This window comes from Homo sapiens, chromosome 5 (assembly GCF_000001405.40).
Source record: "Homo sapiens chromosome 5, GRCh38.p14 Primary Assembly".
Lineage (NCBI taxonomy): Eukaryota > Metazoa > Chordata > Mammalia > Primates > Hominidae > Homo > Homo sapiens.
Genome location: NC_000005.10, coordinates 87,059,232 through 87,076,066, shown reverse-complemented (window position 1 = coordinate 87,076,066; position 16,835 = coordinate 87,059,232). Strand labels below are relative to the sequence as shown.

The 16,835-nt window shown below is 37.1% G+C and overlaps 2 long non-coding RNA genes across 4 annotated transcripts in view, besides 1 other annotated feature; both read left to right on the top strand.

Moving 5' to 3' along the window:
• MIR4280HG (MIR4280 host gene) overlaps positions 1-16,835 on the top strand; it is a 73,290-nt gene that overhangs the window by 46,129 nt on the left and 10,326 nt on the right. The window lies entirely within an intron of this gene.
• LOC105379065 (uncharacterized) lies at positions 798-9,566 on the top strand. 3 transcript variants are annotated; one of them, XR_948539.3, is made up of 3 exons: positions 798-918; positions 1,746-1,887; positions 9,287-9,566. It is a non-coding gene; the product is annotated as an uncharacterized LOC105379065 (long non-coding RNA). The 3 variants fall into 3 exon arrangements; XR_948540.3 differs by having other exon boundaries at positions 798-990; XR_948541.3 differs by lacking the exon at positions 798-918 and adding an exon at positions 1,204-1,593.
• Positions 849-898: an enhancer, noted in NCBI's record as "active region_22748". NCBI's record gives its function as "activates an Ori minimal core promoter by ATAC-STARR-seq in GM12878 lymphoblastoid cells {active_cell/tissue: GM12878}" and the evidence as "EXISTENCE:reporter gene assay evidence [ECO:0000049][PMID:35858748]".

Here is a 16,835-nt window from a genome sequence, read left to right as displayed (position 1 = left end):
ATAAACACTCAATATTTTTCCCAAATGTCTATGACAAAAATATTTATTCCATAATTTAACTTTTAATTGTTTGTAAATATTCTATTTCTTTGCTCTACTCAACATTGATAGTATTGTCCTTAGTGTTTAGATTAGATGTAATTTTCTTATTGTCTAGGTATTATTAGGTGTTCAATAAGTATTCTGGTTTAAAATGCCATCATGGTCCTCATTATCAACAGTGGCCTCTCTGCATTTTGAGAATAGGAAAAATGTTTAACATCTGAAAGCTTGGGTTTATCCTTGCTAAGTGACAAGGAGAATCTGGGCAGAATGTAAATCTTTAAGTTGTCTTTCATTTTTTTTTTCTTTTCAGTTTCTAAAATAAATAGCACTGTTAGCAATTACTCATAGATTTCTTTGTTAATATAAGAAAACATTTTGTAAGATTAGACTCATTTTATTTTTAAAAAGAGCTTCAGTATATGAATATGTGATGTTTAATATAAGCTTAAAAGTAAGAAGTCCCTTCCCTTATTTTCTTAGAGTACAACTGTAGGCAATTAGAATACATTGAAGTGGGTTAAAAGGCAGAACCTAACTTGAACTTCCTTTTGACCACCTGTACGGTATATTCTCAACACTGGGGCCATTGGTTTTGTGGCTTTGTTTCCTGCTCACTGGACTGCCTGGAGGATGGGCTTAGGGTGTGACTTTGCTCATTTCCTTTTTGTCACCTCACAAAGCCCTGCTTTGTTTGCTTTATCTAAGACCTCTGTGCTACCTAGCTAAGTTTGGCTTCCTGTCCAATGCTGTTCACTCTGTCTCCATGGATCCAGCTCAATTGGAAGAAAAAGCAGATGAAGGCCTGAATGTCTACTGAGTTTTCAGTGACTTCCTCAAACTTCTCACTTACCTTTCAGTGCTGGCATCGTCCAGGTCATAGGAGAAAGTAGTAGGGGTGACTCAAATATTTAGTATTTGCACAGTAAAAATGTCCAGCTATGCCAGGTGGAGTGGCTCACACCTATAATCCCAGTGCTTTGGGAGGCTGAGCAGGAGGATTGCATGAGGCCAAGAGTATGAGACCAGCCTGGGCAACATAGTGAGACTCTGTGTCTACAAAAAGTTTTTTTTTTAAAAAATTAGCTGGGCATGGTGGCATGTGTCTGTAGTTCTAGCTACTTGGGAGGCTGAGGTGGGAGGATCATTTGAGCCCAGGAGTTTGTGGCTGCAGTGAACTATGGTTGCACCATTGCACCCCAGCCTGGGCGATAGAGGGAGACCCTGCTTGTAAAAAGCAAGCCAAGCTCTTTACTGGCTGAAATTGCATGGAGTAAGGGAGGGAGTCGAAATTCTGGGGCAGAGAACTACCTTTTGTTGTTCATATGTGTTTGTCTTTAATAATGTTCCCCAGTATCTTATGTTAATGAGGAACATTAATGCTTTGACATCGTTTCACGGTGCCACTTCAGGGAATCACTCTTGCTTATTCTAAGGAGGATTTGGAGCTGTACCGAGCTAAAAGTCTGAATTTGGAGATGATAGTGGTGACCTTATAGGCAATATCAGGTACAGATGGAGCTTTAATAGTGAAAAAGTAGACTGCTCAGAGTAAGTATGGAGGATCATACTTCTGCATACACTGAATGTAGTTGTTTCTTTTCCACACAAGCACTCTCTACAAGAGAGGTTTCTTTAGAAAGAATTGGACCTGATGGAGGGTCATTCTATCAGAATGAATTTTTTAGGTTTCTTCCTTACAGTTAACATCTCTGAAAGGTACGGATACAAGTTATCTACAGGGTAACACCTGTAGATATGATGCAACAGGCTTATGCCATTGGAGAGTGAATAGTCAACCTTCTGAAAACAGTGTACACCACCGGAAGGGCAAGAAAAAAAACTGTGAGTAACCAGTGAGTCTGGGTGCCTTGATTGGGGTCACTTTCAAATAGTGATTTTTTTATTTTTGCTTTGTCACCACATGGTTTGCATGTGTTGAAGGACAGTGTTATCCAGTAGGATTTGTCTTAGGTTTTTTTTTTTTTTTTTTTTTTTTTTGAGACCGAGTCTCGCACTGTCACCCAGGCTGGAGTGCAGTGGCACGACCTCGGCTCACTGCAACCTCCACCTCCCAGGTTCAAGCAATTCTCCTGCCTCAACCTCCTGAGTAGCTGGGACTACAGGTGCCCGCCACCACGCCTGGCTAATTTTTTGTGTTTTGAGTAGAGACAGGGTTTCACCATGTTAGCCAGGATGGTCTTGATCTCTTGACCTCGTGATCCGCCTGCCTCGGCCTCCCAAAGTGTTGGGATTACAGGCATGAGCCACTGCACCTGACCTTGTCTTAGGTTTTCTAGTGGAGGCTTGAGCCAAAGAAATTTTCATGCTGTACAGAAAGTCAACCTATTTCTTAACCATTTTAAAAAATGACACAAGGGTTAGATTTTTGAGGGGAGGGATCAGTTAAGCACATTGTATTTGCCTTTTCATCAATTTTAATGTTTTTCACTAGCGTAAAATACACAACTGCAGTTACTCATATTCATCCTGGAACTGCAGAGGACACAGAGATTTTGTGACCAAGGCAGTCATGGACAGGTTGCTATCTTACACTATACAAATGCTGTCTTACTTCCATTGCCAGTTATGAACTGCATATAAAGTTTGCACATAATTACTAAGGCTGAATAAAGGATCACTACTATTATTACTGTTGCAGATGTTGGTGCCATCTTCTAGAATATCGGAAGTTTTATGTGAAGTTAGGTATAATCTTTTGGTAGGGTACTGCTTTCATATCATTATTGGACTGAAAATGACTATCCTCTAGATTCATTAATGTGCTTAGTCTAATTTCCTAATTCGCCACCATCAGAAATGTAAATCAAAGCTCCAGAAGTATGGCTTTTCAAAATATGAATTTATTTTGTAGAAGAAAACTTATATTGTATGTTTGTTGGCAAAGTAGAGAGCATGTTCTTGTCTTCCATGAAGGCTAATGGCATTTTCAACTGTTAGATCAAGCTTTTCTGGTAAGAAATTTTACTGCTGCTAGTGTAATAATTCACCTATTTTATATAATTTTAAAATATTTTAAGGTTATTATAGATGTTTATCCTTCCAAAGCATAACCAGATTGCAACATGGATATTGTATTTTAGTTTTTGGCTGTTTTAAAGCATCCAGGTGAGATAATAAAAGATGGGAAAAATGTTCACTATAAATTTACTTTGAAAAATATACCAATATAACATGTGGACATTTTTGTATGATATATGTGTGTGTGTGTGTGTGTGTGTGTGTGCGCGCGCGCGTGTATGTGTGTGTGTGTAGAAAGAGACAGAGAGAGAATATTAAATATGTTACGTATATTGCATTACCTCACACAAATGCACACAATTAAATTCCTACTGCAAAATGTAGAGACTAGGCCGGGCACCCTGGCTCATGACTGTAATCTCAACACTTTGGGAGGCCAAGGAGGGTGGATTACTAGATCAGGAGTTCAAGACCAGCCTGGCCAAGATGGTGAAACCCCGTCTCTACTAAAAATACAAAAATTAGCTGGGCGTGGTCATTGGCGCCTGTAATCCCAGCTACTCGGGAGGCTGAGGCAGAGAATTGCTTGAACTCGCGAGGCGGAGTTTGCAGTGAGCCAAGATCACACCACTGCACTCCAGTCTGGGCGACAGAGTGAGAAATATGTCTCAAAAAAAATAATAAAAATAAAAAATTATAGAGACTAGCCTGGCCTGTATAGTATTAAGAAAAGATCAACAGAATTTATTCAGAGCCCTCTATCACAATGATGATCGTTTTCATTATATGAGCCATTGTCGCTGTATACTAAAAGTAATATACTCAATATACGCAAACATTTTAGTCCCCAATTAAATATGTCTCTGAGGCAACATACTATTATTATACAGTATTTCATATTATCTGAACTTCATGATAAACATGTTTGAGATAATGATCTCGATCTCTGTTTTAACAATTTAGGAATGGAAGGAAAATGCCCAGAAATGCTGACGTTAATAGTTATTCTTAGAATTGTTGAAGTCTGACTTGATGACTTTGAATGCCAAGTTGAATGCAGGTTTTGAGACAACTTTACATTATGCTCTCCTCAAAGGATGATGTGGTAATTCCATTTCTCAAAGTAGCTACTAAACTTCCCAGGTGAAACAAATAAATTGAAAGGACTTCCACACATAGTGAGGTGCCAGTAGATCCACACGGTGCATACCAGACAGTTCCACATTTTTCACACAAGGAGTAAGCAGTCTCTAGCCCCTTTGTTTTTCATATATAAATTGACTAATTTTAAATTGATAAGAATATAAAATTAGATAATAAAGTGCAAAATTTTGAAGAGTTAAAGTGTAATATAAGATGAGCTCCTAGTTTTTGAAAAAGGTATTTATGGTCCAGGTGTGATGGCTCACACTTGTAATCCCAGCCCTTTGGGAGGCTGAGGTTGGTAGATAACTTGAGCCCGGAAGTTCGACCAGCCTGGGCAACACGGAGAAACCATGTCTCTACAAAAAAAACCAAAAATTAGCTGGATGGTTATGCATGCCTGTAGTACCAGCTACTCAGGAGGCTGAGGAAGGAGGACCATCTGAGCCTGGGAGGCAGAGGCTACAATGAGCCGTAATTGTGCCACTGCACCCCAGCCTGGGCGATGGAGTGAGAGACCCTGTCTCAAAAAGAAAAAAAAAAAAAAAGAAAAAAAAAGAAATGTTTAAACAGTGTGAATTCAATCTTCAAATAAAACTTAGAAGTCATTATTTCAGTTGGCTTCTGGTATCAGTTCAGTATTTTCAATAAGAAAGTTATTCAAAAGCAAAATGACACATGGTAGCTAAAACATAAAAATATATATTTTTTCAAAATGATGTTTTACAGCTAGAAAATAATACATAGTAAGCTTAAGTTTTTCAAAATAACTTCTCTTTCAAATTGGGCCCTTCAGAAACACTGATGGCTCATTAATTTCTCAAAAATTTAAAAAATAATTTCAGAAAAATATTTACCTGAAATACATCAGTAGGCATAGGGCCAGGGTTAGCTGATTTAGTTCCATAATTGAACAAATATTTATAACTGGCTCTTTGAAGGGGAAATTTTCTTATAGAAACATCTTTGTGTTTGAGAGTATGAATTCTGGAGCGGACTCTGTAGGTTCAAGTCCTACCTCTGCCATTTGCCAGCTGTGCCACCTGGGGCAAGCTATAGACTTGTTTGTGCCTCAGTTTACTCATCTTAAATATGGGGATAAAAAGGTCTTACCTCAAGTGGTTATTAGGAGTTTGAAATGAGGTTATATATATAAAATACTTAGAACAACCCCTGGTGCATAGGGAGTTTTGCATAAGGGTTACCTGTTACTACTATTAAAGCACACGGGTTGCAAACTAGCTACCCTCAGGCTGTGAACAACTTTTAAAAAACATTTAAATATCAAGAATATATGAGATATAGATTTTTAACTTCTCTTCATGAATAAAAAATATCTGACCATATGGTAGCAGGGTTAGTGGTCATAACCCTTTCCCATTCCTGGGCCTGTTTCTCTTGTTCTGCCCAAAGTTGACATCCATCCTTGCAGCCCTGGGTGGAGCCACAGACCTTTCAAGGCCAAAAACCTTTATGGAGCAGGACCTGTGCTGAGGGAGACACCAGGAGTTTGGCATTCCTGCTCTTCCCTCACCTGCTGAAATTAAATAGTTAAAAAAAAGTGTAAAAATGCCAAAGTTTAAGGAAAAGTCAATAAAGACTAAATGGCATTACTTCCACAGGATCTGTAGTAAAATGTCTTGAGAATGTCCCTTTCCTTTTTTCCCTTTATAGTAAGTTTTTCAGCTCATTGAGTTTCAACTGTCTTCGCCTTTGGCCCCATCCTGTGGTCATTCCTTCTTGTACACCAAGTATGTGCTTCTATGAGAACAATATTTAGTTCTTCAACTTTAAGAGTTAGTTTCAGGTGAACTAACGAACACAAGAATGTTCCCCAGTGACATCCCTCCCCACCCCTCTATCCGTTTTGAATGCTCCCTTTGTTTCTCTACCTTTGCTGTGCTTAATTACAGTGACAGTTATTTTTTTCAGGTTCTTTTTCCACAGACAAGAATCATAAGCCAGCTAGTCCAACAGAAAAAGAATAACTATAAAAATAAGTCCTCTCTGGGAAATGAATCTTTTTGATGTTGAAGTATTTCATTTTCACACCATTACAAATGTTGTTTTAGCCCATGATACACTGAACATCTAGATTCTATAATGATAAGCACATCATTCATTGATCTGACATCATTTAATTTACCTGAACAAATAAGACAATTTTCAGGCACCTTTCTTGTCATCTGATATAATGGAAGAAATAGTTCTAATACTTGTGGTTACATATGCATTAACACCCTGATGTTAAGGTGATAACAAAATTCTCAAATTTGTCTAACCTTATTCTGTGCGTTTCTTTATTATATATGTATTATAAGATCTTAACAGAGACAGGATTTTCCTTTAAATCTGTGACAAAATGTCACTCAGCCTTATAAGGCTGACTCATTTTAAAACTTGCTTTAGAAATGTGTTACAGTGTTATGTGTTAAATTACAGATTTGGAAGATATCCTTTATGGTTTTTCTGAATTGCAAAAAATAGATGTGATAATAAAATGTTATGCATTTCATTATATTCTGCTTCATGTTGTCGGTTGATCATTTAGTGGTAAAGTTGTTTTCTTCCCTTTATATGTGATCTTCAGACTAATTTGAAGTTGATATTTTTGTATTGCATGGAATATCTTCACTGCTTCAGCTTACCATAAATTGTTTCATCCCTTTATAGTATCCTTTAGAAAAAACATTTTGAATTTATAATTCCTGTCCTGAAACATCATAGGAAACTTAATTTGTTTTGACACATAAAAATAGCATCATACTAGAACTTTAATCAGAAGACCACCTCTCCACTGAATCTCTACAATTTTTCAAACTCTGAGACAGGGAGAAAGATAGCCAAAGGTATCACCTTTATTGTTTGGCTTCTATTTTTTGAACTAAATTAATATTATTGAGTTTAGTTGTTTTAAAATAAATTAATTTTTAAATTAAATCAGTTGAATAGGCAATACAATGTTTCAGATTTTTTTTTTTTTTGAGACAGAGTCTCACTCTGTTGCCCAGGTTGGAGTGCAGTGGCATGATCTCGACTCACTGCAAGCTCTGCCTCCTGGGTTCAGGCCATTCTCCTGCCTCAGTCTCCCAAGTAGCTGGGACTACAGGCGCCCACCACCACGCCTGGCTAATGTTTTGTATTTTCAGTAGAGATGGAGTTTCACCGTGTTAGCCAGGATGGTCTTGATCTTGTGACCTCATGATCCGCCTGCCTCGGCCTCCCAAAGTGCTGGGATTACAGGTGTGAGCCACCACACCCGGCCTAAAAAATTTTTAAAAATGTAAATATGTGTAGTCTGCAAAGCCTCCCTTTCCTCATTATATTTTTCCTCATTTACCTCCTGTCCCTTTTTCACACATTGGTAACCACTGTAATTAGCTCATTTTGAGTTCTCCAAGAGTTTCTTCAGGCAAATACAAACCAATAAATGATATATTCTTTCCCTGCCTAGCACAAAACTCTGTCTCCTACCCATTTGTTCCACAAGTTGCTTTGTTAAATTAACAATACAGGTCCCATATACAATATTATTATTAACTAGAGCCATCATGCTGTATAGTAGGCCTTTAGAATTTATTCATCCTATACAACTGGAACTTTGTGCCCCTTGACAAGGGCCTCCCCATTCCCCCCACTTCTCCATCCCTGGTAACCACCATTCAACTCTCTGTTTCTATAAATTCAACTTTTTAAGATTCCACCTATAAGTGAGATCATGCAGCATTTTTTTGTGTGGGCTTATTTCACTTAGCGTAATATTCCACAGGTTCATCCACGTTGTTGCAAATGGCAGGCTATCCTTCTTTTTTAAGGCTGAATAATATTCCACGTGTGTGTGTGTATAATAATTTATTCATATCTTGGTAATCGTGAATAATGCTGCAGTGCACAACATAATAGTTAATACTGTATTGTACACTTGAAATTTGCTAACAGAGTAGATCTTAAGTGTTCTTACCACTCTCCCACACACAGAGAAAAGACAACTATACTAAAAGATGGATATATTAATTAGCTTGACTGTAGTAATCAGCTCAGTATGTATATCAAAACACCACATTGTACATCTTAATTTTCATTAAAAAACCCCAAACAAAAAACATACAATGCATTTCACAGATCTTTATGTATCAGTATATGGAAAGCTTCCTCTTTCTTTTTTTACAGCAGCGTCGGATGCTGTTGTACAGATATAATTTTTCTAATCGGATCCCTGTTGATAATTTAAAATAGTCCAGTTTTTTGCTCTCACAGTGCTGCAATGCATATTGTTTATTTTCATATATGTAAGTTTAATATACATTGTCAGAAATAGAACTGCTGAATAAACAGTTGTATATATTTGTAATTTAGAAAAAGTTTTCAAATTGCCTTCCATAGGCCTCGTGCCAATTTATATTCTCATCAGCAATAACTGAAAGTATCTGTTTTTCCATTGCCTTGTCAATGGGCTGTTGTCAAAATTTAAGGGTTTTTGTTAATCTGTTAGGTGAAACATAGCTTATTCTAAATTAGTATTTCTTCTATTATCCAATTAAAGTTTTTTGTATTTCATTTTCTATCAACAGTTCTATCATTATCAACTGATAATGTATTTTGACAGTTGTCTTTTGTGTTGCTATATATTCTTGTGGCTTTCCAGTATTGTTTTTATATTATAAAGATTGGGGCTGGGAAAGGTGGCTCACGCCTGTAATCCCAGCCCTTTGGGAGGCTGAGGCTGGTGGATGACCTAAGGTCAGGAGTTCGAGATCAGCCTGGCCAACATGGTGAAATCCTGTCTCTACTAAAAATACAGAAATCAGCCAGGTGTGGTAGCGCCTATAATCCCAGCTACTTAGGAGGTTGAGACAGGAGAATGGCTTGAACAGCTACAGTGAGCTAACATCGCACCAGCCTGGGCAACAAGAGGGAAACTCTGTCTCAAAAAAAAAAAAAAAAAAAAAAAAAGATTGGCCTGTGATATACATTACAGATATTATCCTTAGTTTGTCATTTGCCTTTTATTTTTCTTATGTGCTTTGCTATACTATAGGAATCAAATATATACTATAAAAATTAAATATTTTCTTTTCCTTTCTCTTTCTCCTCTCTGTTTTCTTCTCCTTCTTTGTAGACAATATAGAACATCTTTCTGACCTTGAGGTCAGGAAGTCCTCCTCGACAAGACACAAAAAAGAAAAATCACAAAGGAAAAGAATGACAACTTGACTCCATCAAAATTAAAAACAGGTGCACATCAGAATATACCATATATACAATTAAAAGATAAGTAATGATATAGAAGAAACTAATTGCCTCACACAAAGCAAACTTGGACTGCTTTCTAGAAAGTAAAAAGGAATCCTAAAATAATCAATATGAAAAAGACAAACAACCAAATAAAACAAAATAAAAAAGCAGACAAAGATTCAAACAGGCAAATTCACAAAAGAGGGAATTCAAATGGTCAATAAACACATTAAAATATATTTAAACTGCAGTAACCAGAGAATAGCAAATGTAAAACAAGGTGTCATATTTCTACTCATTTGATTTGCAATTATTAAAAGTGTTGAAATTATCAATTGCTGGGGCATCAAATATCCTCATAGATGGCCAATGATGGAAGTATGTACACATTATTAAGTTTTGTTTCTAGCAGTGTTTGGTAAGAATTGAAACTTTTGCTCTATTTGAAATTTATCTTGGTATATGGTGTGAAGTATGGATTTGATGTAAACATTTTTTGGATGTTTTCCTAGCTGCTTTAACACCATTTATTAAACAGTACCTCTTTTTCATGCTGACTTGAGATGACATCTTTGCCATATACTAAATTCACATATGTCTTTGGGTCAGCTTCTGAATTTACTAATCTGTTCATCTATCTGTCTACTCGTGTCACTACCTCCTGTTTTAATTATTACAGCTTCACAATATGATTTAATGAATGTATTATTATTTGATTTTTTTTTCTCCTTAGTCACATTTTTCTTCTGTGTTCTTTTTGTTTTTGATATTTTTTCTTTATATTGCCTTGTATTGATTTTGTACAGGCATGCCTCATTTTATTGTGCTTTGCTTTACTGTGTTTTGCAGATATTGCATTTTTTTCCAGATTGAAGGTTTGTGGCAACCCTGCATCAAGCAAGTCTATAAGCATCATTTTTCCAACAGTATGTGCTCACTTATTGTCTGGGTGACATTTTAGTAATTTGCACATTTCAAGCTTTTTCATTATTTGTATATCTGTTATGGTGATCTGTGATCAGTAATCTTTGATATTACTATTATATTTCAAATGTTTTGGGACACCATGAACTGGACCCACCTTAACAGAACTTAATCTATAAATGTTCTCTATAGAACTTAATCTATAAAAGTTCTTTATCAAACGAATCTATAAACGTGCATGTTCTGATAGTTCCACTAATCAGCTGTTTCCCATCTCTCTCTCTCTCCTCAGGCCTCCCTATTCCCTGAGACACAACAATATTAAATTAGGCCAATTAATAATGCCACAATGGCCTCTAAGAGTTTGAGTGAAATGAAGAGTTGTCTATCTATCTATCTATCTATCTATCTATCTATCTATCTATCTATCTATAATCCATCTATTTATTTTTGAGACAGATTCTTGCTCTGTCGCCCAGGCTGGAGTGCGGTGGCACTATCTCGGCTCACTGCAACCTCCACCTCCTGGGTTCAAGCAATTTTCCTGCCTCAGCTTCCCTAGTAGCTGAGATTACAGGTGCCCAACACTATGCCCAGCTTTTTTTTTTTTTTGTATTTTTAGTAGAGATGGGGTTTCACCATGTTGGTCCAGCTGATCTCGATCTCCTGACCTCAAGTGATCCACTGGTCCTTGGCCTCCCAAAGTTCTGAGATTACAGGAGTGAGCCACTGCGCCCGACCATATCTCTCATTTTAAATGAAAAGCTATAAATGACTAACATTAGTGAGGAAGGCATGTGGAAAGGTGAGACAGGTTTGAAAGCTAGGCCTCTTGCACCAATTGGTTAGCCAAGTTGTGAATGCAAAGGAATAGTTCTTGGAGGAAATTAAAGTGCTACTCCAGTGAACATATGAATAATAAGAAAGTGATACATGCTTATTACTGATATGAAGAAAAGTTTTTGTGTCTGAATAGAAGATCAAATCAGCCACAACATTTCCTTAAACCAAAGCCTAATCCAGAGAAAGTCTCCAACTCTCTTCAATTCCATGAAGGCTGATAGAGGTGAGGAAGCTAGCAAAGATTAAAACCTAGTATAGGCTAAGGAAGAAGCTGTCTCCATAACCTAGAAGTGCAAGGTGAAGCAGCAACTGCTGCTGTGGAAGCTGTAGCAAGCTGTCCAGAAGAGTTAGCTAAGATCATTGATGAAGGTGGCTACACTAAACAGCAGATTTTCAATGTAAACAAAGCAGCCTTCTATTGCAAGAAGATGCCATCTAGGACTTTCAAAGCTAGAGAGAAGTCAATGACTGGCTTCAAAGGATGGGCCGACTCTGTTGTTAGGAGCTAATGCAACTGGTGACTTTAAGTTGAAGCCAAAGCTCATTGACCATTCTGCAAATCCTAGGGCCTTAAGAATTATGCTGTTTCTACTCTTCCTGTGCTCTATAAATGAAAAAACAAACTCTAGATGGGAGCCCATCTGTTTACAGTATGGTTTACTGAATATTTTAAGCCCACCATTGAGACCTATTTCTCAGAATAAGAGTCTTTTCAAAATATTACTGCTCATTGACAATGCACTTGATTACCCAAGAGGTCTGATGGAGATGTGCAGAAGATTAATGTTGCTTTCATGGATGCTAATTCAGCATCCATTCTACAGCTCATGGATCAAGGAGTAATTTTGACTTTCAGATTTGCTATTTAAGAAATACTTTACATAGTGCTCAGCTGCCCTAGTGATTCCTTTGATGAATCTGGGCAAAGTCAATTGAAAGTCTTTTCAAAAGAGTTCACCATTCTAGATGCCATTAACAACATTCACAATTCATGGCAGGAGGTCAAAATATCAACATTAACAGAAGTTTAGAAGAAGACGGTTCCAACCCTAACAGATGATTTTGAGGGGTTCAAGACATCAGTGCGATGAAGTAACTGAAGATGTGGTGGAGATGTAAAGAAGACTAGAATTAGAAGCAGAGCCTGAATTTGGGACTAAATTGGTGCAATCTCAGGATAAAACTTGAACAAACGAGGAGTGGTTTTTATGGATGTGTAAAGAAAGGTTTCTTGGTATGGAATCTACTTCTGGTGAAGATGCTGTGAGCATTGTTGAAACGACAACAAAGGACATAGAATAGTACATAAACTTAGTTGATAGAGCAGTGAGATAGGGCTTGAGAGGATTGACTCCAATTTTGAAGGAAGTTCTACTGTGGGTAAAATGCTATCAAACAGCATTGCATACTAGAGAAATATTGCATGAAATGAACAATCAATTGATGCAGCAAACTTCATTGTTTTCTTATTTTAAGAAATTGCCATGGATGCTTCAACTTTAGGCAACAACCACTGTAGTCAGTCAGCAGCCATCAAAGTAGAGAAGACCCTCCACCAGCACAAAGCTTACAACTTACTCAAGGCCAAGATGATTATTAGCTTTTTTAGCAATAAATTATTTTTAAATTATGGCATGTACGTTGTTTTTTATACATAATGCTACTGGACACTTAATGGTCTACAGTATAGTATAAACATAACTTTTACATGCACTGGGATGCCAAAAAAATTCATGTGACTTGCTTTATTGTGATGATCTGGAACCAAACCTGCAATATCTCTGAGTTATGCCTGTACTTGTTTCTTTTTTATTAATTTAGTTATTATTAAATGTGTGTATTTCACTAGACCAGCTATTTTCTGTAGAGCTCATTACAGTTAGGTAGAGAGAGTCATCACCACACAGAATAATTCTCTGTGTAAAATATTTCTCCACAAGTTTCTGCCACAGAAGCAGATAGCTTCCTGCAAATATGGCTTGTTTATGTGATTTTTTTTAGAGCCACTCATATTTTGCTACTCTAAATCAAGCCATTTCCTGCCTTGCTCAACACAGCTCCTACATCCTTGTAAACAAGAATTACAGTTTTTAGATTTCAGAATATGTCTTCAATTTTTAGAAAGCTGTGTTTTTGCTGGTGCTTTTTGAGACTCAAGACAACAGTGGACAGGTTCCACTTTCTGTGATTTGACTCCTTTTTAACTCCTTTATTAACTTCTTCCCAATCTTAATTGTTTTTAGCAACTCATAGTTATATTTAGGGATCTACACATGATATGTATTTTAGCTTCATTGAAAATGTTTTTATTTAATTCCAATTTTTCATTCTTCTTGGTTTTGTATACTTTTGGAAGAGTAGGTTTGGGAGTAGGGAGAATTCCTGACTGATAGCAGTCACATTCTCATTAGAAGTTAAGGGCTTCTAATGAAATTTTTCATGATTTCTTTTAATATGATGTTTTCGTGTGATTCCTCCAGCTAATGTAGATGTGACTGCCATTCTGACCATGACATGCTACTGTGCATAGTAAGCCCCTTTGGGCTTTGCCCATACCTGAAAAGTCTTTCTGAAAACCTCACCACTGACTTCTTTTCACTTAACTTACTCAGATGTGTCCTTGGAGATCTGTATTGAGTATCTCTTCTCTCTAGAAGCTTTCCCTTACATCCCCTGTACTTGCATCCCACCTTTGTACTTTACTTGCATCTCACCCTGGGGTACTTCCTTTGCTCTTATTTCCCTAGACCACAATGATCTGCTTACTCCTGTATAGATTCTAGAAGGTACTGTATAAAGTATTCTCAGGAGATGCTTCTTCAAGATGCATTGTGAAAACAGTGTGGTGTGATCAAATATTTGGGAAATGCTGCATATTATATTCTTAGTCTTAGAGAGTCACAATTTATATATTAGAATTTGCAAAAGGTCTTAAAAAAAGAAGTCTGTTAATATTGATATAACCAATAGCATACCAAAAGTAGTTGTTTATGAAACCCCCATTTATGTGTGACAGAGTGTTAATACATGCTGGGAAGCTACACAAGAAATGCCTCCTTGATGTGACTATGGTAGGATCCTCAGCTCCTAGTCCAGTGCCTGGTACATTGTGCTACTTAATATATGCCTGTTGAATGACTTAATCTACCTTATACACTATCCCAGATGCTTAGTTGTTTACAGAAACGTGTTATAAGTTGGTTTTACATACAAGGGATCACAATGGCATAAACTCTGGAGAGCTGTGTAGGTCTGCTTCAGATAAATAGATTTGGCTCCAATGTTGAATGTTATTTTTGAGTCATGGGGACATTTACTAAGCAAAAAGCATTCAGGGGAGGGTGGCCAGGTTATTTAAGGGATTTGGAAAACCTTTATGCATGGAGTGATGAGAAGTAGTGGATACATTTAGTTTGGAGAAGATAATGCTAATAAGAAAATTTTATCTTTAAATATTGAACAGTGACTAAGATATCATTTTACCAGTCAAAAATTTCACAGTATAGTAAAAAAAAAAAAAAAAACAACAAACTGATTACAACATAATGAAATAAGTGTCCTGGCAAAACATCTTCAGCATCAGAGAAAAGAGTGAATAGTTTGCTTGGAGGATTGGGTGTGTGGGTAGTCAGGGAGACTTCTCTGAGGGGGCAGCATCTGAGCATATTTTAAGGGTGAGCATGTGTGGAGCGCTCCATATCACAACACAGTCTACCTCTGAAGAAAGATCTAGGTGAAAGTTTAGAGTTTATTTATCTTTAATGGAAAACTGTTATGTTTGGATGAGAGAGCTGTTTCTGTCAATTGTTCTACATTGAACACTTCCAAGTTGTGGCATAATGCAGCATGCAGTGGCTGAAAATATATGAAGCACTTTTTGAGTTGCTGACTTAAAAGTGAATCATTGAATAATATTTTTCTTATTTAGGTTTAAGCTTATTGTTTTTGTTGTTGTTGTTGTTTTGTTTGTTTTGTTTTTTTTTTTTTTTTTGAGACAGAATCTCACTCTGTTGCCCAGGCTGGAGGGCAGTGGTGTGATCTTGGCTCACTGTAGCCTCTGCCTCTTGGGTTCAAGCGATTCTCATGCCTCAGCCTCCCAAGTAGCTGGGACTGCATGTGTGCGCCACCATGCCCAGCTAATTTTTGTATTTTTAGTAGAGATGGGGTTTCATTACACTGGCCAGGCTGGTCTCAAACTCCTGGCCTCAAGTGATCCACCTGCCTCGGCCTCCCTAAGTGCTGGGATTACAGGCGTGAGCCATCTTTCCCAGCCTAAGATGATTCTATTTATGATGACCTGTTCTTGGTAATGCGCTTCTTTTTTTTTTAAAGGAGGTGAGAAATTCTGTGGGCTTCAAAGGAGTGTTGATTTTAGGTGGCTCAGCATACGGCTGAAATGCTTGTAGTTTACATTGTAAAATATTGACTTTATAAGTAGATCATTCTATAAGATACATGAATTCAATACTTATCTTTCTACTCATTGTAGATTTCCAGAGTTCTATATCATCAGAAGGGCTGAAACATATTCAGAAAATAGACAGTTTGGGCCAGGCACAGTGGCTCATGCCTGTAATCCCAGCACTTTGGGAGGCCGAGGTGAGCGGATCATGAGGTCAAGAGATCGAGATCATCCTGGCCAACATGGTGAAACCCTGTCTCTACTAAAAATACAAAAATTAGCTGGGCATGATGGCACGTGCTTGTAGTTCCAGCTACTTGGGAGGCTGAGGCAGGAGAATTGCTTGAACCCGGGAGGCGGAGATTGCAGTGAGCCAAGATTGCATCACTGCACTCCAGCCTGGTGTCAGGGCGAGACTCCATCTCAAAAGAAAAAAAAAAAAAAAACAAAAACAGAAACAAAATAGACAGTTTGTTTCACAACCTTGGAGGAAGAGAAAATTTCATTAATCCAAATGAAAATACAAAGATTTAATAGATTTTTTTTATTTTTATTTTTTTGAGATGGAGTTTCACTCTTGTTGCCCAGGCTGGAGTGCAGTGGCACCATCCCAGCTCACTGCAAACTCCGCCTCCCAGGTTCAAGTGACTCTCCTGCCTCAGCCTCCCAAGTAGCTTGGATTACAGGCATGCACCACCACAGACGACTAATTTTGTATTTTTAGTAGGGACAGGATTTTACCATGTTGGCCAGGCTGGTCTGGAACTCCTAACCTCAGGTGATCCACTCACCTCAGCCTCCCAAAATGTTGGGATTACAGGAGTGAGCCACCACGCCTGGCCTAAGTTAGATTTTTATTAGAAAAAGGAATCAACGTTAAATTTTATATTTCTAAGAAATGTTTTCATTTATCCAACTCCGTGTTTTACTTGTTTGCTTATAAGAATAAAAGAAATGATTTCACTGTTTTATTTCATACTGAACTGACAGGCTTCACTTGTTTCATAATTTTAGTGTATAAAGCTATTAATGTTAGTTTTGTAGACACTGAAAATTACTTTTTAAAATGAAAATAGTTGATTGCCAAGTGAAATTGTGGATTATGCTTCCCTAAAGATGTTTTAAAAATACATATTTTATATTTATTTAAAATAGAAAATATGTATTTTATATAAAATATGAAAATCATATTATTTTATTTTATTTTATTATTATTATACTTTAAGTTTTAGGGTACATGTGCACAACGTGCAGGTTAGTTACA